This window comes from Homo sapiens, chromosome X (genome assembly GCF_000001405.40).
Source record: "Homo sapiens chromosome X, GRCh38.p14 Primary Assembly".
In the NCBI taxonomy this organism is placed as follows: Eukaryota; Metazoa; Chordata; class Mammalia; order Primates; family Hominidae; genus Homo; species Homo sapiens.
In genome coordinates this window covers 131,696,415-131,721,170 of record NC_000023.11, presented here as the reverse complement: position 1 = coordinate 131,721,170, position 24,756 = coordinate 131,696,415, and the positions used below count along the sequence as shown (strand labels likewise).

The 24,756-nt window shown below is 42.8% G+C and overlaps 1 long non-coding RNA gene across 2 annotated transcripts in view, besides 5 other annotated features; it reads left to right on the top strand.

Annotated features, from left to right (window-relative positions):
- FIRRE (firre intergenic repeating RNA element) overlaps positions 1 to 24,756 on the top strand; it is a 139,119-nt gene that overhangs the window by 109,473 nt on the left and 4,890 nt on the right. Inside the window, exons 11-13 of one of the 2 annotated variants that reach the window (NR_026975.2) lie at positions 9,451 to 9,520; positions 11,615 to 11,673; positions 17,653 to 18,521. This is a non-coding gene — a long non-coding RNA (firre intergenic repeating RNA element). Of the gene's footprint in view, positions 1 to 9,450; positions 9,521 to 11,614; positions 11,674 to 17,652; positions 18,522 to 24,756 lie in introns of those variants that run through there. The other variant, NR_152876.1, reaches the window with a different exon arrangement.
- Positions 190 to 723: an enhancer, noted in NCBI's record as "NANOG hESC enhancer chrX:130854476-130855009 (GRCh37/hg19 assembly coordinates)". NCBI's record gives its function as "activates a minimal SCP1, AML or CMV promoter by ChIP-STARR-seq in primed H9 embryonic stem cells {active_cell/tissue: H9 hESC(primed)}" and the evidence as "EXISTENCE:reporter gene assay evidence [ECO:0000049][PMID:30033119]".
- Positions 3,224 to 3,424: a silencer, noted in NCBI's record as "peak7427 fragment used in MPRA reporter construct". NCBI's record gives its function as "represses an SCP1 promoter by STARR-seq MPRAs in K562 erythroleukemia cells {active_cell/tissue: K562}" and the evidence as "EXISTENCE:reporter gene assay evidence [ECO:0000049][PMID:32103011]".
- Positions 3,431 to 3,957: an enhancer, noted in NCBI's record as "OCT4-NANOG-H3K27ac hESC enhancer chrX:130851242-130851768 (GRCh37/hg19 assembly coordinates)". NCBI's record gives its function as "activates a minimal SCP1, AML or CMV promoter by ChIP-STARR-seq in naive H9 embryonic stem cells {active_cell/tissue: H9 hESC(naive)}" and the evidence as "EXISTENCE:reporter gene assay evidence [ECO:0000049][PMID:30033119]".
- Positions 9,916 to 10,210: an enhancer, noted in NCBI's record as "tiled region #5272; HepG2 Activating non-DNase unmatched - State 24:Quies, and K562 Activating DNase matched - State 9:DNaseU". NCBI's record gives its function as "activates a minimal TATA promoter and a strong SV40 promoter by Sharpr-MPRA in HepG2 and K562 cells {active_cell/tissue: HepG2 | K562}" and the evidence as "EXISTENCE:reporter gene assay evidence [ECO:0000049][PMID:27701403]".
- Positions 16,723 to 16,962: an enhancer, noted in NCBI's record as "active region_29949". NCBI's record gives its function as "activates an Ori minimal core promoter by ATAC-STARR-seq in GM12878 lymphoblastoid cells {active_cell/tissue: GM12878}" and the evidence as "EXISTENCE:reporter gene assay evidence [ECO:0000049][PMID:35858748]".

Here is a 24,756-nt window from a genome sequence, read left to right as displayed (position 1 = left end):
TATCTGGTTGGTAATTACCTCAACCATATCCAGAATTGCTTCTGTCATTTCGCTCCTTTCTTTTTCAGAAGTCTCTTGTATCCCCTAATCTTGGTTAAAATCAGTATGCACAATTCTCTATCTGACATTTCTTGAATTTCTTTTGGATAGGGATCTGTTGCTGGAGAATTACTGGGTTCCTTTGGAAGTATCCCGTTTCCTTGCTTTTGATGTTTCCGGTGTCCTTCCGTTGAGATCTGCACATCCTGTGTAAATTGCTTCTTTCAAGTTTGTGAATTCGCTTTGTAGGGGAGGACTTCCTCCTCTTCCCCTTGCGTGGGAGCTGCAGGCTCCAATAGCTTGCAACTTTAGCCATGAGATAGCAATACAAGCTTGCCAGTTTTACTTTGCCCCAACAGATAATCCAATGAAGGCTGTGAACCAAAATTTCGGGTAAGCAGTCTCCATGGCAGTTTGATTTTTAAAGTCTAAACCTCCCCAGACTCCAATAAGGATCACTGGGGCCAAACTAACAAAGGAAGGCATCACACGTTAACGAGGCCCCCTACTTAGAACAGCAGCACAAAAGCCCGGTTACATGCAACACCATCCGGCTTTCCCATTAGACAATAAACTTCAGATTCTAAACAATTTTGGGGCCAAGGAACATTACAACTCTGAGAGAAAATTCCAAGGAGGGCTTAATACTAGACCTTAGAACCTCTGCAGAAAGCATCCTCTTTGGAGAATTTGAGGCACGGAGGATCTTCCAGAGCATCCTCCTGTGGGGTCCAAACTTAGAGTTCCAGACGTCTCTGGCGTTACTTAGGTGGGCACCGGTGCCGCTTTACATGCGTTCCCTCTAGAGCCTTCTATGAACTTTATAAGAATAGCCATGAACTGTATAACTGGAGGCCGGGTGAGCCTTTTTGTTCCTTAGCCAGTAGAGTACAATAAGGAAAGAATTTAGCATAACTCAGTTCTAAAAAGTGCCAATATTTTAAAACCTATTATTATTTCCAAGAATAATTAATTATTATATTTGAAAAGTACTTAATTTGTAAGTGAAGATAACTTGTTTTAATAGTTACACTACAGGATAATTTGAACATTGGCTTATAAGTTCATATTATATGTGCATCGTCAACAGATGATAATATATGGCCCAGACATTTTAAATTACTTCGTCTCACTATGTTTGACCTACCATATACTTTTTGAATTATAATTTCTTAAAGTTCTTCTAGAGTAAAATCCAAAAATCTCAAGCCCTCAAAAGTATATATTGATATGGATTCATGCAGATATTATAAGGTGTTCTAAAGATTTTGTACAAAATTGCAAACAGTATGCATTGAATTATATTGAAAGTAAAATGTGTGTGGGACTGTGTATCTGCATCATATCTGTCTGTATGTATACACAGTTTTAAAATGACATATATATATATTTTTTAGACAGGCTCTCACCCTATCACCCAGACTGGAGTACAGTGGCATGATCGTGGCTCACTGCATCATCGACCTCCCTGCGCTGACGTAATCCTCCCAACTCAGACTTCCAAGTAACTTGAACTACAGATACACACCACCGTGCCTGGCTATTTTTTGTAGAGCCAGGGTCTCACTACATTGCCTGGGCTGGTCTCGAACTCTTGGGCTCAAGTGATCCACCTGCCTCAGTCTCCCAAACTGCTGGGATTACAGTTGTGAGCCACCGCACCTGGCCAATGCCATATATTTTTATTTCATTTTTTATTATTTTTTTTGAGACAGTCTCACTCTGTTGCCCAGGCTGGAGTGCAGTGTTGCTATCTCGGCTCACTGCAACCTCCACCTCCCAGGATCAAGCGATTCTCCTGCCTCAGCCTCCCAAGTAGCTGGGACTACAGGCACCTGCCACCACGCCCAGCTAATTTTTGAATTTTTAGTAAAGACAGGGTTTCACCACGTTGGCCAGGCTGGTCTTGAACTCTTGACCTCATGTGATCTGCCCACCTCGGCCTCCCAAAGTGCTGGGATTACAGTTGTGAGCCATCATGCCTGGCCTAATGCCATATATTTTAAATCATGGTCAGTGTTATAGTGAGTACATGTTTGAATATGATAGTATTGGCCAACAAATTTATATCATTCATATTTATATTAAGACACACATTAATGAAACATTGTAGCTGCATGTGAGTGGTGTGAATACTTCCATCTTAAAGTTTTCTTAGGTTACACATCTAGGTGACTGAATGTGAGAGATGCCTATCTCAACTATCATTTATGGAATTTTGTTATATTTCTTTTGAGATTTTAAAGATAAAATTTAAGATAAGAATTAGGGATAAAAATTTGAGAAGAATTAAAAGCTAATTCTGAGGTATAAGTATGTATAATATATATTTATATTATATGTAATATGTATTTATATATGTGTTCATGTATGTATAGGTAGATTTTTAGATTTTCATTTTGTTGCACAGGCTGGAGTGCAGTGGCACAGTCCTGGCTCACCGCAACCTCTGCCTCCTGGGTTAAAGCAATTCTTGTGCCTCAGCCTCCCGCGTAGCTGGGATTACAGGCGCCCGCACCACTCCTGGCTGGGTTTTTTTTTGTATTTTAGTAGAGACGGCGTCTCACCATGTTGCCCAGGCTGGTCTTGAACTCCTGAGCTCAGGCAATCCGCCCATCTCGGCCTCCCAAAGTGCTAGGATTACAGGTGTGAGTCACTGTACTTGGCCAAGAACTTCTTAACGACTTGTTCAATCAAGTAATTCTTTGCAAATATTTTATTGTTTAAAATCCAGATATTGCAAATTTTTTTATAACAATGTCAAAAACTGTTCAAGAATCACATGTGAAAATGTTCACTCTAAAACATGACGTATAGCTAAATCCAATTTAAATGTAAATTTATTGTAGTGTTTGCATACATATATGTAGAACTTTTATCTATGTATTGAAAGTGGGACAAAATATGGAAAAAGTTATCAGTATTTAATACACAGTTTTATGACATTGCTTTTCTTTTGATCAGCACATAGTTTCTTTTTACTTCTTTGCAAATTCCACGTCTTTTCTACTAATGAGAAAATATAGGATTGAATCCTAACGGAAAAACAATAAGACACATACACAGCAAAGTCATAGGACACGGTCTTAAGCCATTGCCATTTCATGACACTGGAAAATATTTCTGTACCAATATTAAATAATGAAACCATGAGACAAAATCCTGCGATCCATCTGATTAGCATTTATAGTCATTCCTGTATTTGTGTACATTCAAGAAGGGTTGTGTCTGTCAAGTTTAAGAGTTATGTGGACCCTTATCTTAGAGCTCCACTAATTAGCAATAGCGGCCTTCCCCTCAACACGTAAGACCTAATGTCTAGGTCAGAACATAGAGTAGAACTCCCAGGGAACCTGGGTAGAGAGTTTCATGCACGTCCGTGTGAAGAGACCACCAAACAGGCTTTGTGTGAGCAACATGGCTGTTTATTTCACCTGGGTGCAGGCGGGCTGAGTCCGAAAATAGTCAGGGAAGGGAGACAAGGGTGGGGCCGTTTTATAGGATTTGGGTAGATAAAGGAAAATTATAGTCAAAGGGGAGTTGTTCTCTGGCGGGCAGAGTGGGGATCATAAGGTGCTCAGTAGGGAAGCTTTTTGAGCCAGGATGAGCCAGGAAAAGGAATTTCACAAGACAATGTCATCAGTTAAGGCAGGAACAGGCCATTTTCACTTCTTTTGTGGTGGAATGTCATCAGTTAAGGCAGGAACTGGCCATCTGTGTGTGTACGTGCAGGTCACAGGGGATATGATGGCTTAGTTTGGGCTCAGAGGCCTGACATTCCTGTCTTCTTATATTAATAAGAAAAATAAAATGAAATAGTGGTAAAGTCTTGGGACAGCGAAAATTTTGGGGGATGGTATGGAGAGACAATGGGCAATGTTTCTCAGGGCTCCTTTGAGCGGGATTAGGGGCGGCGTGGGAACCTAGAGTGGGAGAGATTAAGCTGAAGGAAGATTTTGTGGTAAGGGGTGATATTGTGGGGTTGTTAGAAGAAACATTTGTCGTGTAGAATTATTGGTGATGGCCTGGATACGGTTTTGTATGAATTGAAAAACTAAATGGAATAAGAGAAGGAGAAAAACAGGTATAAAAGGTCTAAGAATTGGGAGGACCCAGGACATCTGATTAGAGAGTGCCTAAGGAGATTCAGCATAGTCCTGCCAGCAAAGATTATTTATTTACTTCAAGAGTTTAGAGTGGCAGTTTGGGGATAGCACCAGGAGATATCAGCTGCGATGGCTTGGAGAAACAGCAGTGTAAACAAGATCAGGGCATGTATGAGTAGTTGAGAACGGTGAATAGGAGTATGACTAGACAGAAGATAGTAGGGATGACAAGTTTTTTGGGGGCACAGTCTAAGTTGGTCTGGTGTCTGGATGAGACTGGGGCCTAATAAAAAGGAGTGTCTATACAGGAGCTCAAATGGGCTGTACCTTGTAGCATTCTGAGGACAGGTCTGACTTCTGAGAAGGGAAAGTGGTAAAAGTATTGTCCAGTCCTTTTTAAGTTGGTGGCTGAGCTTGGTGAGGTGTGTTTTTAAAAGATCATTAGTCTGTTCTACTTTTCCTGAAGACTGAGGACTGTAAGGGATATAAAGGTTTCACTGAATACTAAGAGCCTGAAAAAATGCTTGGCTGATTTGATTAATAAAGGCCGGTCTGCTATCGGACTGTATAGAGGTGGGAAGGCCAAACTGAGGAATTATGTCTGACAGAAGGGAAGAAATGACTACGGTGGCCTTCTCAGACCCTGTAGGAAAGGCCTTTACTTATTCAGTGAAAGTGTCTACTTAGACTAAGAGGTATTTTAGTTTCCTGCCTCGGGCATATTGAGTAAAGCTAATTTGCCAGTCCTGGGCAGGGGCAAATCCTGGAGCTTGATGTGTAGGGAAGGCAGGGGGCCTGAATAATCCCTGAGGAGTAGTAGAATAGCAGATGGAACACTGAGAAGTTATTTCCTTGAGGATAGATTTCCACGATGGAAAGAAAATGAGAGGTTCTAGGAGGCGGGCTAGTGGCTTGTACTATAGCATAGCCTGCCTTTGCTGGTGTGTGGTGATTAGGCCTGGTGGAACTGCCATCAGTAAATCAAGCGTGATCAGGGTGAGGAACAGGAAAGAAGGAAATATGGGGAAATGGGGTGAATGTCAGGTGGATCAGAGAGATACAGTCATGGGGGTCAGGTGTGGTATCAGGAATAATGTGGGAGGCCGGATTGAAGTCCGGGCCAGGAACAATGGTAATTGTGGGACCTAACAAAGAGTGAGTACAGCTGAAGGAGCCGGGGAGCAGAAAGTATATGCGTCAGATAGAGGAAGAAAATAGATTTTGGAAGTTATGAGAAATGTAGAGAGTGAGTTGAGCATAGCTTGTGATTTTTAGGGCCTCTAAAAGTATTAAAGCAGCGGCAGCCGCAGCACGCAGACATGAGGGCTAGGCTAAAACAGTAAGGTCAAGTTGTTTGGACAGAAAGGCTACAGGGTGCGGTCCTGGCTCTTGTGTAAGAATTCTGACCGCACTAACCAAGCCTAGGAAGGAAAGGAATTGTTGTTTTGTAAGGGATCGAGGTTTGGGAGATTAATCGGATACGATCAGCAGGGAGAGCAGGTGTGTTTTCATGAGAATTATGCTGAGATAGGTAACAGATGAGGATGAAATTTGGGCTTGACTGAAGTAATGGGGGCTGTCTGTGAAGCCTTGCAGCAGTACAGCCCAGGTAATTTGCTGAGCCTAATGGGTGTCAGGGTCAGTCTAAGTGAAGGCAAAGAGAGGCTGGGACGAGGGGTGCAGGGGAACAGTAAAGAAAGCATGTTTGAGATCTAGAACAGAATAATGGGTTGTAGAGGGAGGTACTGAGGATAGGAGAGTATATGGATTTGGCACCACGGGGTGGATAGGCAAAACAATTTGGTTGATAAGGCGCAGATCCTGAACTAACCTGTAAGACTTGTCCGGTTTTTGGACAGGTAAAATGGGGGAATTGTAAGGAGAGTTTATAGGTTTTAGAAGCCCATGCTGTAGCAGGCGAGTGATAACAGGCTTTAATCCTTTTAAAACGTGCTGTGGGATGGGATATTGGCGATGAGCAGGGTAAGGGTGATTAGGTTTTAATGGGATGGTAAGGGGTGCGTGATCGGTTGCTAAGGAGGGAGTAGAGGTGTCTTATACTTGTGGGTTAAGGTGGGGAGATACAAGGGGAGGATGTGAAGGAGGCTTTGAACTGGGGGAAAAGGCAGCAATGAGGTGTGGCTGTAGCCTAGGAATAGTCAGGGAAGCAGATAATTTAGTTAAAGTGTCTCGGCCTAATAAGGGAACTGGGCAGGTGGGGATAACTAAAAAGGAGTGCTTAAAAGAGTATTGTTTAAGTTGGCACCAGAGTTGGGGAGTTTTAAGAGGTTTAGAAGCCTGGCCATCAATACCCACAACAATTATGGAGGTAAGGGAAACAGGCCCTTGAAAAGAAGATAATGTGGAGTGGGTAGCCTCCATATTGATTAAGAAGGGGACAGACTTACCCTCCACTGTGAGAGTTACCTAGAGCGTCTGTGATGGTCCTGTAGGCTTCCGAGGCGATTGGGCAGTGTCAGTCTTCAGCTGCTAAGTGGAGAAGATCTGGGAAGGAGTCAGTCACAGAGCCTTGGGCCAGAGTTCCAGGGGCTCTGGGAGTGGTTGCCAAGTGAGTTGAACAGTCCAATTTTCAGTGGGGTCCCACACAGATGGGATGCGGCTTAGGAGGAATCCCGGGCTGTGGGCATTCCTTGGCCCAGTGGCCAGATTTCCGGCACTTGTAGCAAGCTCCTGGGGGAGGAGGTTCTGGAGGAACCCCTGGCAGCTGCGGTTCGGGCATTTGGAGTTCTTGTGTGCTGGAGATGTGGCTGGGGTTTGTCTCACAGTGGAGGCAAGGAATTGCAACTCAGAAATACGTCGCTACTTGGCTGCCTCTATTGTATTATTGTACACCTTGAAGGTGAGGTTAATTAACTCCTGTTGTGGGGTTTGAGGGCCGGAATTTAATTTTTGGAGTTTTATTTAATGTCAGGAGTGGATTGGGTAATAAAACGTATATTGAGAATAAGATGGCCTTTTGACCTTTTAGGGTCTAGGGCTGTAAAGCGTCTCAGGGTTGCTGCCGAACGAGCCATGAACTGGGCTGGGTTTTTCAGATTTGATGAAAGAGCCTAAACGCTAACTGATTTGGGAGAGGTTGGATAAAGAAAAAGGAGCATTAACTTTGACTATGCTTTTAGCTTCAGCCACCTTTTTAAGAGGAAATTGTTGGGCAGGTGGGGAAGAACTAGTCGCGGAACTAAACTGTAAGCTGGACCGGGTGTGAGGAGGGGAGGTGGTAGAAGGATTATAGGGTGGAAGAGCGGAGGCAGAGGAAGAATTGGGACCTAGCTCGGCCTGGCGAGGAGGGGAGAGGTCAGATGGGTCTGTAGAAAAGGAAGATTAGAAAGACTCAGTGACGCTTGGGGTTGGGACTGAGGGAACAGGTGGGAGGGAAAGAAGGAAGATTTGGGACTAGTTACACTGGGAACAGAGACTAGGAAGGGACCGATGTGTAAAAGAATGCCTGGACGTCAGGCACCTCAGACCGTTTGCCTATTTTACGGCAAGAATTATTTAGATCTTGTAGGATGGAGAAATCGAAAGTGCCGTTTTCTGGCCATTTAGAACCACTGTCGAGTTTGTATTGGGGTCAAGCGGCATTGTGGAAGAAAATAAGGCATTTAGGTTTTAGGTCAGGCAAGAGTTGAAGAGGTTTTATGTTCTTAAGAACACAGGCTAAGGGAGAAGAAGGAGGAATGGAGGGTGGAAGGTTGCCTATAGTGAAGGAGGCAAGTTTAAAGAAAAGGGAGAGTAGAGACACGTAGGGAAGTGGTTCGGGGGTTCTTAACCTCCAGAAAAGCGGGAAAGGGGTTGAGGCGCAGAGATATGAGGTCGGGGCATGGAAATAAGGGATCAGGGCACAGAGATATAAGAGGTTGGGGTGCAGAAATAAGGGATCGGGGTGCAGAGATATAAGAGGTCGGAGCATGGAAAGAAGGGATCGGGGCACAGAGATACAAGGTTGGGGTACTTGCCCCTCCCCCAGAAAAGTGGGACTTGCTGCTAAGAGTGAAGGAGAAGGGGTTGGAGGTTTCTTGCCACCCAGAAAGGCGGAGAAGGGGTAGAGACACGGAGAGAAGGGGTTGGGGTACTTGCCCCTCCCCTAGAAAAGCGGGACTTGCCGCTAAGGGTGAAAGACCAAGGCAGGTGTCCTTGAGTGGTCTGACACCTCTGAAACCTGGGTGAATAATCAGAGAGGTGTCCCTGCAATGATTAAACACTAATGGAAGGCTGCCTTCCCTAGTCCATGACCGGCGCTGGAGTTTTGGGTCCATGGATAAAACGTGTCTCCTTTGTCTCTACCAGAAAATGAAAGGAATTGAAATTAAGAGAAGGGAGAGATTAAAGTGTGGCACCAAGATTGAAAGGAGAAAGAGGTTGAGGGATAGTGAGGGAGGTTGGAGAAGTGAGTAAAAAGAGGCCGCTTACCCGATTTAAAATTGGTGAGATGTTCCTTGGGCTAGTTGGTCTGAGGACCTGAGGTTGTAAGTGGATCTTTTTCATGGAGCAAAGAGCAGGAGGACAAGGGATTGATATCCCAAGGGAGGTCCCCTGATCCGAGTCATGGCACAAAATTTCATGCACGTCCGTGTGAAGAGACCACTAAACAGGCTTTGTGTGAGCAACATGGCTGTTTATTTCACCTGGGCGCAGGCGGGCTGAGTCTGAAAAGAGAGTCAGGGAAGGGAGATAAAGGTGGGGCTGTTTTATAGGATTTGGGTAGATAAAGGAAAATTATAGTCAAAGGGGAGTTGTTCTCTGGCGGGCAGAGTCGGGGTCACAAGGTGCTCCAAGGTGCTCAGTAGGGGAGCTTTTTGAGCCAGGATGAGCCAAGAAAAGGAATTTCACAAGACAATGTCATCAGTTAAGGCAGGAACAGGCCATTTTCACTTCTTTTGTGGTGGAATGTCATCAGTTAAGGCAGGAACCGGCCATCTGGATGTGTACGTGCAGGTCACAGGGGATATGATGGCTTAGCTTGGGCTCAGAGGCCTGACAGAGGGTCAGGACAAGAACCACATGGCCTGGTGCTTAGCTTTGCTATTCTCCAAGACCTTAGGGGTAAACATTTGTTGTTGCTTTTTTGTTTGTTTGTTTCCGTAGGCATGGATCCCTGAGGTCTGTCCCTAATATTACAAGACAATTCGATATCACAATAAAACCCTTCAGATATGATGCTGAGTGAAAAAGCAGAAAGGGAAAGACTTGGTTGTGCGGATACTGAGTTCTTTTTCTTTTCTTTTCTTTTTTTCTTTCTTTTTCTTTTCTTTTTTTTGAGCCCGACTCTTATTCTGTCACCCAGGCTGGAGTGCACTGGAGCAATCCTGGCTGGCCAATACTGAGTTCTTGAAAACAGGAGATGCTTGATGAGGGTGAGTGGATTAGATCTCAGTTTAATATCCGATGGGGCCAGACGCGGTGGCTCACACCTGTAATCCCAGAACTTTGGGAGGCCGAAGTGGGTGGATCACCTGAGGTCAGGAGTTCACGACCATCCTGGTCAACATGGTGAAACCCGTCTCTACTAAAAATACAAAAACTAGCCGGGCGTGGTGGTGCGTCCCTGTAATCCCAGCTACTTGGGAGGCTGAGGCAGGAGAGTTACTTGAACCCGGGCGGCGGAAGTTTCCGTGAGCCAAGACTGAGCCACTGCACTTCAGCCTGGGCAACAAGTGCGAAACTCCGTCTGTGAAAAGAAAAAACAAAAACAAAAAAAACAATGGAAGCCAAAAGCAAAATGCCAAGAGTGGAATACATTTATGCAAGTTGAGCAAAAATGTTAGATAGTTTTAGTTTCTGTTGTCTTTGTCCCTTCATGGCATTTTTTTCAAACGTGATGGGCGGGAGAGGAGCGCCTAGCGCTACTTGGCTTTTCTGGGACAATACTGCCATCATGCGGAAGTAGTTTCATAGCATCCGAAGCCGTGAGCATTTCCTCCACGTAAACCCTAGCCGTCGCGGAAGGAAAAGCCAGTGGAGGCTGAACAGGCCCAAGACACAAGTTGGCATTCCTACCCTTTTCTCTGAGGCCTGGCACAATCAATGGACAAATGCAAAGTCTTAGTGAAGTATCTGGTGAGTGAGGGACCAGGACTGAGCTAGCTGCTTCCAGGAAGCAAGAATGTAATGGAAAGCCTAAGCAATTATCTAAGCCCACAAGCCAGGATTATCTGTGACTTTATAAGTTCATGGGAATGTCTTTTCTCATACTAGGACACTGATGGTAATCTCAGTTCTCTCAAGGAGGGCAGATAGGTGGCTCTTTTCCGTTGGACATTCCCTGAGAATGATGGCATTTTTTAGTCCTGAGGAAACCAGTATTTATCTCATTCTAGCGAGCGTTCTGTGTACCAGCTTCAAAGCTAGTTCTTCATGAAGATATCCACCCTTAGGTGTGGAGACCTCCAGATACTCCATGACTCATAATTGAAAAATCAACAAGGGTGGCTAAAATTGTATGGGTGACTTGTTCCCCATGACATTCTTTTTCATTGTTTGTTATCTCAGTATCTGAATCTTTTAAAAAAGGATGTAATATTAGTCTGGTACTGTAGTGTGACCTTCCAGTGCTTCAAGATCTTCTTCAGGTAGGACTTCTCCTGGCCTCTGAAGATTCAGGCAGGCATTCCAGGGTAAGGGACCTGGCTTTTGTGACATCCTTGACTGTACCTAGCTCTCCCTCAAGCTGGTTAGAGTTGATTGATGGTCTGTAGACATAGATGCTATTGGCATTCAGGAATGTTTTAAAGATTCGGCCAGGCCCGGTGGCTCATGCCTGCAATCCTAGCAGTTTGGGAGGCTGAGGCAGGTGGATTGCTTGAGCTCAGGAGTTTGAGACCAGCTTGGGTAACATGGTGAAGCTCTGTCTGTATAAAAATCCCCACAAAATTAGCTGGGCACGGTAGTGCCTGCCCATAATCCCAGCTACTTAGGAGGCTAAGCTGGGGGGATTGCTTGAGCCCTGCAGGTCAAGGTTGCAGTGGGCAACAGTGCACTTCTTCCTGGGAGACAAAGTGAAACCCTGTCTCAAAACAAAACAAAACAAAACAAAAATAGAAGTGTCTTAACGACCCTCTGGGAAGCATTTCTCAATGACCCCCATTCCTGGAAATGACAAAATGACATCTAGACTCCCCACGCTGTTTCACCTAACGTAGACTTAGATATCTGCTAGATCAAGGGTCTCCAGTTCCTGGGCCACGGACCTGTACTGTTCTGTGGTCTCTTAGGAACTGGGCTGCATAGCAGGAGGTGAGCGTGGAGCAGGCAAAGTTTCACTGATATTTAAAGCCACTCCCCATCGTTTGCATTACCGCCTGAGTTCCACCTCTTGTCAGCATTGGCAACATTAGAGTCTCATAGGAGCATGAATCCTATTGTGAACTGTTCATGCAAGGATCTAGGTTGGGCTATCCTTATGAAAATCTAATGCCTGATGATCTGTCACTGTCTCTCATGACCCCCAGATGGGATCATCTAGTTGCAGGAAAACAAGGCTCAGGGTGCCTACTGATTCTACATTATGGTGAGTTGTATAATTATTTCATTATATATTACAGTGTAATAACAATAGAAATAAAGTGCATGATTAATGTAGTGAGCTTGAATCTAACTGAAACCATCCCCAACCTTGGACTGTGCAAAATTTATCTTCCACAAAACCGATCCCTGATGCTAAAAAGGCTGGGGACTGCTAAACTACCTCCTGGAGAAATAGCTTGGTCTGACCATTTTTGTGGAAGAGAGCAGCCCTACATATGAGACAGTGTCCCATATCTGAAGCAGTTATAGTAGGTCGCTAGTCAGATATGAGCAGGGCAGGAGAGGGCTCTTGCCGACCCACTGGGAATGTCAGCTGACCATCAGGCGGTAGTCAAACAGTTGTCACACTGCCTCTCTAAAATAATAATGTTTTAAGTTAGGTAGAAAAATCTGAAGGTTTGAACACTTATGGAAGGCTTGTGACAAATTAATTGTAAATGAAATTCTGTGTGTGAACATATTAGCTAAAGTTAAAGGGGTACTATTTAATTTTTCCATAAATTGAACATTGGAATAAAAGTACAACAGAGTTGGCTGGGCATGGTGGCTCACACCTGTAATCCTAGCACTTTGGGAGGCTGAGGCAGGTGGATCACGAGGTCAGGGGTTCGAGACCAGCCTGACCAACATGGTGAAACCCCATCTCTATTAAAAATACAAAAATTAGCTGGGTGTGGTGGCGGGCGCCTGTAATCCCAGCTACTCAGGAGGCTGAGGCAGGAGAATTGCTTGAACCTGGAAAGTGGAGGTTGCAGTGAGCCGAGATAGCACCATTACACTCCAGCCTGGGCGACAGAGCAAGACTCCGTCTCAAAAAAAAAAAAAAAAAGTACAACAGAGTTTTCTTACAGCACTAATTTGCTCTTTAACAAAAATTGGCAAAGAATTATAAAAGATTTATAAGAATCTTACCTTATGGTCAGACATTAAAATTGGATAGATTTGTCCATAAGGTTTCATTAAGATTTGGGTTTGACATCAATAGTGCACTAATACAATGGTGAAATTTGGCTTTCTCTCTTGAACAAGATTTTCATGTGATATTAAGAAATGATGAAAGATTTTTGTTTGCCTTTTGAATAAACTGTAGGAAGAAGAAGGGAAAGAAAAAAAGACAGATTGTTTGGAGAGCTAAGTCTCCCTCTTAATGAGTAAAGGTTTTTTCCGTTTTAAAACATTTTGAGTTATTGTTTTGGCTAATTAAATGACTCATGGTGACCTGGGATTTGATTTTATAATATCAAGTGTTTTAAACCATTGATATTTGACAAAGCTTCCAAAATTAAATTATAAATTATATTTTTTTCTGACATAATTACTAGTTTAGATATTAAGTCCTCTGAAGTCCAAACATGATATATTTGGCCTATTTGGTATAACAATCATACAGTAAACACTGTCAACTATGAAATGGTGTTTGGCTTTCTTTGGGTTGTGTTTGTATAAATATATTAGCGGTTGAAGTTATCTGTGCTACCAGCGTTGAATCCAAACAGGTCTGGAGCAACCTCGATTCCTGCCTTCTGAGAAGAAAGAATCCGACTGAGGGGCATAAGGCAGAAGAAGAGACCAAGGAAAGTTTTAGAGCAGGAGTGATGTTTATTCAAAAGCTTTAGAGCAGAAATGAAAAGAAAGTAAAGTACACTTGGAAGAGGGCCAAGCAGACATCTTGGTCAAGTGCTCCGTTTGACCTTGGACCTAGGATTTTATATGGTGGCCTACTTCCGGCATCTTGTGTCCCTTTTCTTTTGATTCTTCCATTGCGGCAGGCTGCCTGCATGCGCAGTGTATTTACTGAAGCTGTACACGTGCTCAGGTGAGGCATTCTTCCCTTTACCGTGCAATATCCCTGGAAGGCCATATACCAGTTAAATTCCACCATTTTGCCTCTTAATGTGAAGCCCACTTGACCAATTCCTGAGATCTTACTGGAAGCTGCTGATTACCAATTTCAGGTGTTTTTATCTATTGGGAAACTGCTTCTTGGTGCAGGGTGCACCCAGTTATTATTTTAGAGAGGCAGTGTGACAACTGCTTGACTATCACCTGATGGTCGCCTGACATTCCTGGTGGGTGGGGAGAGCCTCACCTGCTCTGCTTATACCTGACTAGCTACTTAGTGTAACAAAGCTAGAAAAGTTGCTGGTCTCAGACCTAGAATTCCTTAGGCTAAAGAATTGTTTATTCATTCCTTGCTAACTATCTTTAATAGAGGCTGTGTGCCTAGGCAGTGGATAGAAGCCTGGTAAGGAAATCACACCTAGCTGAATCCCAGTGGTAGTGACAGGAGGTTGATTGGTTTCTTCTGCAAGGGAGGATAGTGTGGAGGGGCAATGAGCCTATCATTCCCATTTAGGTTGGATACATGTCATTCATCTGCACCAGGTAATCCCTTTAGTCCTCACAAAATCTTAATTGCATTCTATGTCCTCATAAGCAGCCATTCCCTGTGTCTGATTTAGTGAGAAAAGTAAATTATTGAACCTTGAGGATTAAACCCTTCCACACGGTAAATGACAAAGTAAAGTATATTTTACTCTACTTCTAAAATGTGATAACCTTAAACCAAATATATAATCATGTATGTGTTCTAGAGAGCCAATATGCACATTGTGATGTATCTGTAAAAATTCAAACAAAAAATAGTGTCTACTTTTCTAAAGCAATGTTTTCGAGGGCATAGTTTAAGATTTACCTTTGTTTATAATGAAGGCTTAAAATGTTGACATATAATATTGATGACATTCAAATTAATTCATGCTCCTCAAACCTTTGTTAACATACATACTTGGTCTGATTCAATCCACAATGTACAATGTAATCCAGTTTTTTTGTTTTGTTTTGTTTTGTTTTTGAGACAAAGTTTCCCTCTGTCGCCCAGGCTGGAGTGCAGTGGCATGATCTTGGCTCACTGCACCCTCTGCCTCCCAGGTTCAAGTGATTGTCCTGCCCCAGCCTCCTGAGTAGCTGGGATTACAGGTGCCCGCTAAGTTTTGTATTTTTAGTAGAGATGAAGTTTCACTGTGTTGGCCGGGTTGATCACGAACTCCTGACCTCAGGTGATCCGCCCACCTTGGCCTCCCAAAGTGCTGGGATTACAGGTGTGAGCCACCGTGCCCAGCCTATAATCCAGTTTTAATACAGATTTATTTTTTACATGAAATCAAGAATGTATATATATATTGAAAGATATACACAGAAATGATCCAAAAGGTTAGTTGCCTTGACACGTTGTATGGTAGTGTTTTTCTTCTTTAGTAGTATGTGGATTTTTCCGAATCTTTGGCAGCCATTATTTTTTAATTAATTAGTGGGAGAATACTGTAAACATTATACCTAAAAGACAAATTATAAAATGCAGACAGACACACACACACACATACACACACACACACCATAAAGTCTCAGGAAATACCTGAAGAATATGTAATGGCATGGGAACATGCTGTGTTTTGATGTTAGATGATGAGACCCCGAGATGAAACACTGAGTAACCTGGACAGGAATTGAACATATGTACTATGAGTATCTTGCCATGCGGAACATATTTGACATGCAGTAATGACAGCTATCTGGTCCCTTCTCTATGATTCATGCATGCCACATTGTTGCCTACAATGCAACACATGAGCTACAACATGAAGAACTCCCTGGTTGTCTGGGAGGGGAGCCAGAACAGAGACCACCAGGATTTGTAAATTGTTTGCCAGCGAAAATCTCTAAGCTTCTAGCAACTTTCTCCTTTTTGTGCCCTCATCCATTGAATTTATCCCCTGAAGGAGACAGTTTGATGCCTTGGAAAGTACTGGACATATAATTCTGTAACGTAAATCATACCCATATAGACTAGATCAAGAAGACATTTAATTTCTGAAATAATAAGATTCTTGACGAGGGTGCATGGTTTAGAGTTTGGTTTGATTTCAAACGGAAGACAAAAGCAAGGCCAGGTGGGGTGGCTCACGTCTGTAATCACAGCACTTTGGGAGGCCGAGGCAGGCGGATCACCTGAGGTCAGGAGTTCGTGATCAACCTGGCTAACATGGTGAAACCTCGTCTCTACTACAAATACAAAAATTAGCTCGACTTGGGTGCGGTGCCTGTAATCACAGTTACTTGGGAGGCTGAGGCAGGAGGATTGCTTGAACCCGGGAGGCAGAGGTTGCAGTGAGCTGAGATCGTGCCACTGCACTCCACCCTGGGCGACAGAGCGAGACTCCGTCTCAAAAGAAAAACAAAAACAAAAGCAAAAACAAAACAAAAGCAAAAGTGCAGCAGTAAGACCAGGTGGACCCAAAGAAGGCAAAATACAAGGCACCCATGTTTGGTGGCGCCTTTGTCTATGGGTGGCGTTTTTTCACACAAGAAGAGCGGGAGTAGAGTCCTCCAAGGTGAGGTTTATTGGCATATCTGGAGCTCTACTGCCATCGTGAGGATATCGTTTAACGAAACCCTACGCCATTAAAGAGTTCTAGTGAGGACTACCTGTTGGGGCAGGTGTGGTCTGGTAAAAGGTGGAAGAGGGTTCGCCTCCATGCTGGGAGTCCTTGCTTAGTCTCGTTTGAGGCTTTAAAAGAGACCTGGACATTGGCGGTACCTTGGTATAGAACCTGGAGAGTGAAGGTTCTAAGAGCAAATCCTGTAAACCTCCCCTGGAAGAACGTTGTTTATTGTGCGCGGATACTGATGCCACAAGAGAGCCAAAGACCCGTAGTAAGATAATACCATGTGAAAACCTACTGACTTTTGCTCCAAGGGGCAGGAACAGGAGACAGATGCCCACAAGAGCCTGCATTTGTCTTTGAGCGGGTTCCTGCAGTCCTGCCCAGAGGAGGAACCGAGGCCCCGCCCCACGACTTTCTGTGCCAGGACCGCCCGGCAGGGGCTGGTTCATTCTAAGTCCTCACTCTCCAGGTTCTACACCAAGATACCGCCAATGTCCAGGTCTATCTTAAGGTCTTAGAGGAGAAGGCAAGAAGACCTAGCTTGGAGCCCCACGCCTCTTCCTCCTTCCCACAGATCAGAATTTCCCCAACAGAGAGAAAAATACTGTTCTCCAGAATTCGAGAACAGTGTAATGGCGTAGGGTTTCATGAAACTTCATCCTCACGATGGCAGTAGTGCTCCAGAAACGCCAAGAAGCCGTGTCTAGATCCCTCTTCTCCCGCCCCTCGTGTCTGAAAAAACTCCGGCAAACATGGCTGCCTTATGTTTTGTCCAGTTTGGGGGCAACCTTGCCTTACTACTCAACTTCCGCTTTTGTTTTCCATGTGAATCAAACTGAGACCTAAAACCACTCACCCTCATCAGGAATATTGTTATTTCAGAAATTTAATTGACACCTGACTTTGTCTATGGAGTTCTGCTTTCATTATATGCAATCTGTGCAGTTCTGCTCAACATTCTATATCCAGTACTTTCCCATAGTATCAGATTTTCTACCTGAAAGGATAAGTGTGAAGTCTCCAAGCTTAAGAGAGAGAATAAAATGCTAGAAGTTCAAGACTTAGAGAAAGGCCTCTCTAGCCACCCTATTTTCCTTTGAGACTCTCAAGATAGTCTGCATTTATTTTCAGTCCTACACTAATACTTGTTTGGGAGTTACTCCTGTTCCAGGAACGAAGCCCGGCCCGCTGCATTTTCTAGAGGCCTAGTACGGAAAAGCAGGCAAACTAGGAAACACAGGAATTTATTGCTGTAACTGGATACAGGAAGAACGCTGGAGATAATTCCACCAGACCAACTCAAAGTGTTACAATTTTCTTAGTGCTTATATAGGTTGGGGTTATGTGCCTACTGCAATATAGCATTCGCCTATGTCTATTGGTAACTAAATTTGCTTCAACTAGAATGTCAGAGGCAAAAAAAATGCTTGCTAAGTCCAATTAAAAGGGCCCCAGTACCTTCAAAGCCTGTCTACTGTGGTACCGGAATGATTATTTCTATCTTATCTCCTTTACAGCTTGGTCCGGAGAGCTGCCTTGGACTCTCCAATGCAGCTGCCTCTGTTACCTTGACTCGTCTCAGATTTCATTGACCCAAGATGGGTCCTGGCACTAGGAATGTAAGACTGTCTCCATTCTTTTGGCTTGTTCCAGAGAAGCCCATGCAAGGTTCCTACTGACCATATGTTTCTTTCTTTTCTTTTGTTTTTTGAGACGGAGTTTCGCTGTTGTTGCCCAGGCTGGAGTGCAATGGCGCGATCTCCGCTCACTGCAACATCCGCCTCCCGGACTCAAGCGATTCTCCTGCCTCAGCCTCCCGAGTAGCTGGGATTACAGGCATGCGCCACCACGCCCGGCTAATTTTGTATTTCTAGTAGAGTTAGAGTTTCTCCATATTGGTCAGGCTGGTTTCGAACTCCTGGCCTCAGGTGATCTGCCCTCCTTGGCCTCCCAAAGCGCTGGGATTATAGGCGTGAGCCACCGCCCCCGGCCTTGACCATATGTTTTATTTCTAGCTTTGATGTCTGGGCATCGATTTCCCTCGGTTAAACTATTTGCTCAATGTTAAGGCCACTCTGTAGAAATTTGTCTGTGTAACTGAGGTGCTATGCAGGCCTGCCTGTGTGACTGTCATGCAGGCCTGTCTGTGTGATTGTCAGGGAGAATTGGTCTGCCACAATCCTTTTCTAAGCATAGCCAATAGAGGTAGTTAGGCATAATTTGTATATTACAGAAATTGCCTTACAGAGAGTAACACATTTCTATACTCTCCTTCCATAACAGACACTTAAAAAAACAAAAAAAGTAATGTATGCTTGCTGTGGACCTCATTTAAGATTGCAACAGAAGCACTTTTCAATACTATTAAACAGCTTTTTACTTTCCATATTTTAAGCTTTTTAATTTATTATTTATTTTCTTAATTTTCTATTTTTAATTTTTTGATACATTATATTTGTATATATTTAAGGGTACATGTGAAATTTTGTTACATGCATACAATGTGTAATAATCAATTCATGATATTTAAGTTACCTATCAACAAAGTATTTATCATTTCTATGTGTTGGGTACATTTCAAGTCCTTTCTTCCAGCTATTTTAAAACTACAGAAAAGTGTTGATTATAGTCACCTTACTCTTCTATCAAAGTTTAGAACTTATTTTTTCTAACTGTATGTTTCTACGCATTAACCAACTCTCTTCAGCCCCACTGCCCTCCCGCAAATACACCCTTTCCTGTCTCTGGTATCTATCATTCCACGCTCCACCTCCATGCCAACAAGTATTTTAGCTCCTACAGATGAATGAGAGCTATATTTTCCTTTCTGTGCCTGGCTTATTTCACTTAACATAATGATCTTCAGTTCCATCCAAGTTGCTGCAAATACATCATTTCATTTTTTTAATGGCTGAAGAGTATTCCATTTTGTATATATAGACTGCATATTCTAGGTTTTCCAGTTCGTTAGTGTATAGTCGTTCATAATACTCTCTGATGATCTTTTGTATTTCTGTGGTATCAGTGGTAATCTCTCCTTTGCCATTTCTGATTTTGTTTATTTGGGTCTGTTCTTTTCTTGGTTAGTCTAGCTAGTGGTTTATCAGGTTCATATGTGTGTGTGTGTGTGTATATATATATATAAATATAAAACTGTCACCCAGGCTGGAGTGCAGTGGTGTGATCTTGGCTCACTGCAACCTCCATCTCCTGGGTTCAAGCGATTCTTGTGCCTCAGCCTCCCTAGTAGCTGAGTTTACAGGCGTGCGCCACCATGCCTGGCTACTTTTTTTATTTCTAGTAGAGATGAGATTTCACCATTTTGGCCACGCTGATCTCGAACTCCTGACCTCAAGTGATTCACCCGTCTTGGCCTCCCGAAGTGCTGGGATTACAGGAGTGAGCCATCGCGCCCAGCAGTTTTGTTTATATTTTCAAAGAACCAATTTTTCATTTTGTTGATCCTTTGTGTTGGTTTTTCATCTCTATTTTGTTTAGTTCTGCTTTGATCTGTATTATTTATTGATCCATGTTACCATGGTTTTTTTTTAGTAGAAAATAGCTTTTATTTATACATGGATTCAGAAAATAAGGAAATACTCTCAAAAAGAAAAACACTGATATAAATGGACCATGCCATAATAAGCACTGATTAAATTTAATACTTCTGATTCTCTTGTTTTATGCATAAATCAGTCTTTAAATTCCTGTAAAAGACATAAAGAACTGAATTATTCAATCAATAAACACAATTTACGTATTAAATATAACACTTTACATCTCACAATTAGAGAATGAGTTTTGTTTTTTTTTTTTTTTTTTTGAGATGGACTTCTGGCTCTGTCGCCCAGGCTGGAGTATAGTGGCCTGATCTTGGCTCACCGCAACCTCCAACCTCCCAGGTTCAAGTGATTCTCCTGCCTCAGCCCCCTGAGTAGGTGAGATTACAGGTGCCTGCCACCACGCCGGCCTATTTTTGTATTTTTTAGTAGAGACGGGGTTTCCCCATGTTGGCCAGGCTAGTCTCAAACTCCTGACCTCAAGTGATCCGCCCACCTTGGCCTCCTAAAGTGCTGGGATTACAGGTGTGAGCCACTGTGCCCGGCAAGAATGAGAATTTTTAATAGGTTTATCAGTCTTTTGGCTTAAAATCATTTAATGTATTAAAATAGTAAGCATTTATCCATCCATATCATTTGTCTATTCAATAAATTTGGAAGTAAAGAAACATTACCAAAATCTTATCCAATCTGAAATTAATAAACACGTTTAAGATTCTCTTTTACTCAAATAGGAAATAAAAAGGGAACTTACATAATATCCAGAGAATAATTAAAGGCAAAATACATCAAGTCAAATCCTATTATGCCTGCAGATGCTTTTCTCAGAGGAAAGCCTTTATCCATTAATGACTTTATTAAAATGTTTATTTATTTATTTATTATCATAAGCTCAACCAAGTGTTATATAAAACAGTTTTGAAAATTAAGGTAATAAGACCGAAAAGAATGAACTAATCTTACCAAATGTTAATAAACAAATAATTAATCCAAGCAAATGAGAAGAATTGATTCAATCATTTTGAAAGTGAAATCACAGGAATAGAAAGCCAAAAATTAATAATCAATGAATTTTAAACAGATTCTTTGAAATTATCAGTAAAATATATCAGCCTTATTTTAGTCCATTCAGGCTGCTGTAGCAAAATACCATAGCTAGGTGATTTATAATCTTTTATAAATAATAAAACTTACTGCTCACAGTTGTGGTGTCTGGGAAGTCCAAGATCAAGGCCCCAGCACATTCATTATCTGTTGAAGGCTCACTCTCTGCTTCAAAGATGGCACCTTCTATCTATATGCTCACATGGCAGAAGAGGTGACAAGCTCTCTCACGTCTGTTTTATTAGGGAACTAATCCCATTCAGTATGACTGACCCTCCATTATCTAATCAGCTTCCAAAGGCTACATCTCTTAATAATATCACCTTGGGGGTTAGGTTTCAACATATAAATTTTGGGGGATACAGACTTTTAGAACATACCTTCCCACCCTTGGGCCCCCCAAATTTGTGTCTTTCCCACATGCAAAATATATTCATCCTATCCTAATAGCCCCCAAATTCTTTTTTTTTTTTTTTTTTTTTTTCCTGAGACGGAGTCTCACTCTGTTACCCAGGCTGGAGTGCAGTGGTGCAATCTTGGCTCGCTGCAACCTCCACCTCCCAGGCTCAAGTGATTCTCGTGCCTCAGCCTCCTGAGTAGCTGGGACTACAGGCGTGTGCCACTATGCCTGGGTAATTTTTGTATTTTTAGTATAGACGGGGTTTCAATATGTTGGCCAGGCTGGTCTTGAACTCCTGACCTCGTGATCCACCCACCTTGGCTTCCCAAAGTGTTGGGATTACAGGCGTGAGCCACCGTGCCCGTCAATAGCCCCCAAATTCTTAACCTGTTTTTGCATCAACTCAAAAGTTTAAAGTTCAAAGTCTCATCTAAATATCATCTACGTTAGATTTGGGTGAGACTCAAGGTATCATTCATTCTGAGCCAAATTCCCCTTCTACTCTGAGCTTTTGAAGTTAAACAAGTTTTATGTTTCCAAAATACAGTGGTGGGACAGGCATAAGTTAGAAATTCCCATTCCATAAGGGAGAGAGAAGAAAGGAAAAGGGGTAATATGTTTCAAGGAAGTCTAAAACCCAAGAGCACAAACAATATTAAAACTTAAGGCTGGAGAATAATCTTCTTTGACTCAGTGTTGTGCCTTTCACACACACTTGGATGAGGATTGGGCCCCCAAGGCTTTAACTGGTCCCATTCCCAATGACTTTTCTGTGCATAGCCCGTGCCACAGTGCTCATGTGTTGGAGTCTTGTGTTTGTGGTTGTCCTAGGCTGGAGTTGCACACTGGTGGCTTTACCAATCTGAGGTCTCTGGGATGGCCCTGCCCTCATGGTTTTACCAGACTTTGCCTTTATGGTGGTCCCTCCATGGCTTTAATAGACATTGCCCCAATGGTGACTCTTTATTGTAGTCCTATTCCTGTGGGACATCTTTGTCCATGCCCTGCAGCTCTCTGGGAGTACCCTTAGTAATATAGGTGGAGGTAGCCATGTCTCTACAGCTCATTTTGCTCTGTGCTCCTGTGGAGATGGCACTGTGTTGATGCTGCCAAGATTTTTACTGCCTGTGCACTTTAGAGTGGTGGCCTGAACCACATCTGGGCCCATTTGAGACACATCTGATGAGAGAGGGAGCTGAAAAATGCTGTGCCAGAATGTAGGGAGCAGAGACTTGAGGTAGTTCAGGGCAGCAAGCACTGAGGTTCCTTGGATGCCCAAGGTCCCTCTTTTGACCTCATTTTACGCCCCAGGTTTGGTATTCTGAGCCTGTGATGTGAGTGGCAGGCTGGATGGTCTCTGAAATGCCTTTAGGGTCATTCTCTTATTGTCATGCAGAATAGCATCTGCCTTCCTTCTATCCCTACTAATCTTCTTATCAAATGGTGGCTTGGTCATACCTTTAGTATTCTCTTCTGAATATGCTTTTTCATTAACTCTTCACAACATAGCCACACTGAAAATTTTTCAGATCTTTACATTCTGCTTCCCTTTTGATTATAAATTCTTTTTAATTTGTTTCTATCTTCTTGTATTTTACTACAAGCATTCAAGAGAGGCCATAACACACCCTCAACACTTTGCTTAGATATTTATTTCACTAACTATACTATCATTGCTCAGAAGTTCTACCTTCTGCAAAGCCCTAGGATACATACACAGTTCAGCCAGGTTATTTGCCACTTTATAAGAGGGATGGCTTTTCCTCCAGTTTCTGATAACATTTCTCATTTTCACCTGAGACTTCATCAGAATGGCCTTTACCATCCAGATTTATACCAAAATTCTGTTCATGACCTCTTAGGAAATCTCTAAGAAGATTAGGCATTGTTTACAGCTCTCCTCTTCTGAGCCATAACCAGATCACTCTTAACACTCTGCTCACAGAAATGTAGGCTTTTTCTAGCCTGATCCTTTGCATTCTTACGGCCTCTACCCATTACCTAGTTCCCAAGCTGCATCCGCATTTGTAGGTATTTGTTAGAGCAGCACACCACTTCTTGCTATCAATTTATACCTTGATTCTTTCAGGGTGCTATAACAATGTAACTTGGACTGGGTAGTTTTTAAAAACGTAATTTACTGAGAGTCCTGGAGTCAGGGATTTCGAACATTAAGGTGCCAGAAAATGTGGTGAACAATGAGGGCTCAATCTCTGCTTCAAAGATGGCACCTTCTAGCTATGTCCTCATATGGTAGTAGAAGTAAAAGAGCTCCCTCAGGCCACATTTTTAAGGATACTAATCCCATTCATGGGGGTAGAGCCTCATGACCAAATCACCTCCCATAGGCCTTACCTCTTAATACCATTACCATCAGGATTAGGTATTTGGGGCCATCATTAAAAAGTCATTAGGTATTTGGCAATCATTAAAAAGTCAGGAAACAACAGATGCTGGAGATAATGTGGAGAAATAGGAAAGCTTTTACATTGTTGGTGGGAGTGTAAGTTAGTTCAACCATTGTGGAAGAGTGTGTCGATTCCTTAAGGATCTAGAATCAGAAATTCCATTTGACCCAGTAATCCCATTACTGGGTATATACCCAAAGGATGATCAATCATTCTACTACAAAGACACATGCACACGTATACATATGTTTATTGCGGCAATGTTCACAATAGCAAAGACTTGGAACCAACCTAAATGCCCATTGATGATAGACTGGATACAGAAAATGTGGCACATATACACCATGGAATACTATGCAGCCACAAAAAAGGATGAGTTCATGTCTTTTGCAGGGACATGAATGAAGCTGGAAACCATCATTCTCAGCAAACTAACACAGGAACAGAAAACCAAACACTGAATGTTATCACTCATAAGTGGGAGTTGATCAATGAGAACACGTGGACACAGGGAGGGGAACATCACACATTGGGGCCTGTCAGTGGTGGGGGACTAGGGGAGGGATAGCATTAGAAGAAATACCTAATGTAGACGGCAGGTTGATGAGTGCCACAAACCACCATGGCATGTGTATACCTATGTAACAAACCTGCATATTCTGCACATGTATCCCAAAACTTAAAGTATAATAATAAAAAAAAGAAAATGGTTCATATTCATAAAATAACTTTCAAGGTCAAGTTTCATGACCAAAAATGCAATTCTAACCCCCCAATTGACTGAATGGATCCCACACTTCTGCCAAAGAGATTCCAAAGAAACCTGAAAAACTAGTTAAGGCCATAAAGGGAAGGAAGTAGGTGGTCAGACATGCCTCATTATACCCTCTCCCATTTGGATTTCAGGCATAACTGACCAGCATGAACATTAAAACAGATCTTGGCCTGGTGAGGTGGCTCATGCCTATAATGTCAACACTTTGGGAGGCTGAGGTGGGCGTATCCCTTGAAGTCAGGAGTTCAAGAATAGCCTGGGCAACATGGTGAAATCCTGTCTCTGCAAAAATACAAAAATTAGCTAGGCATGGTGACATACACCTTAGTCCTAGCAACTTGGGAGGCTGAGGCAGGAGAATCGCTTGAGCCTGG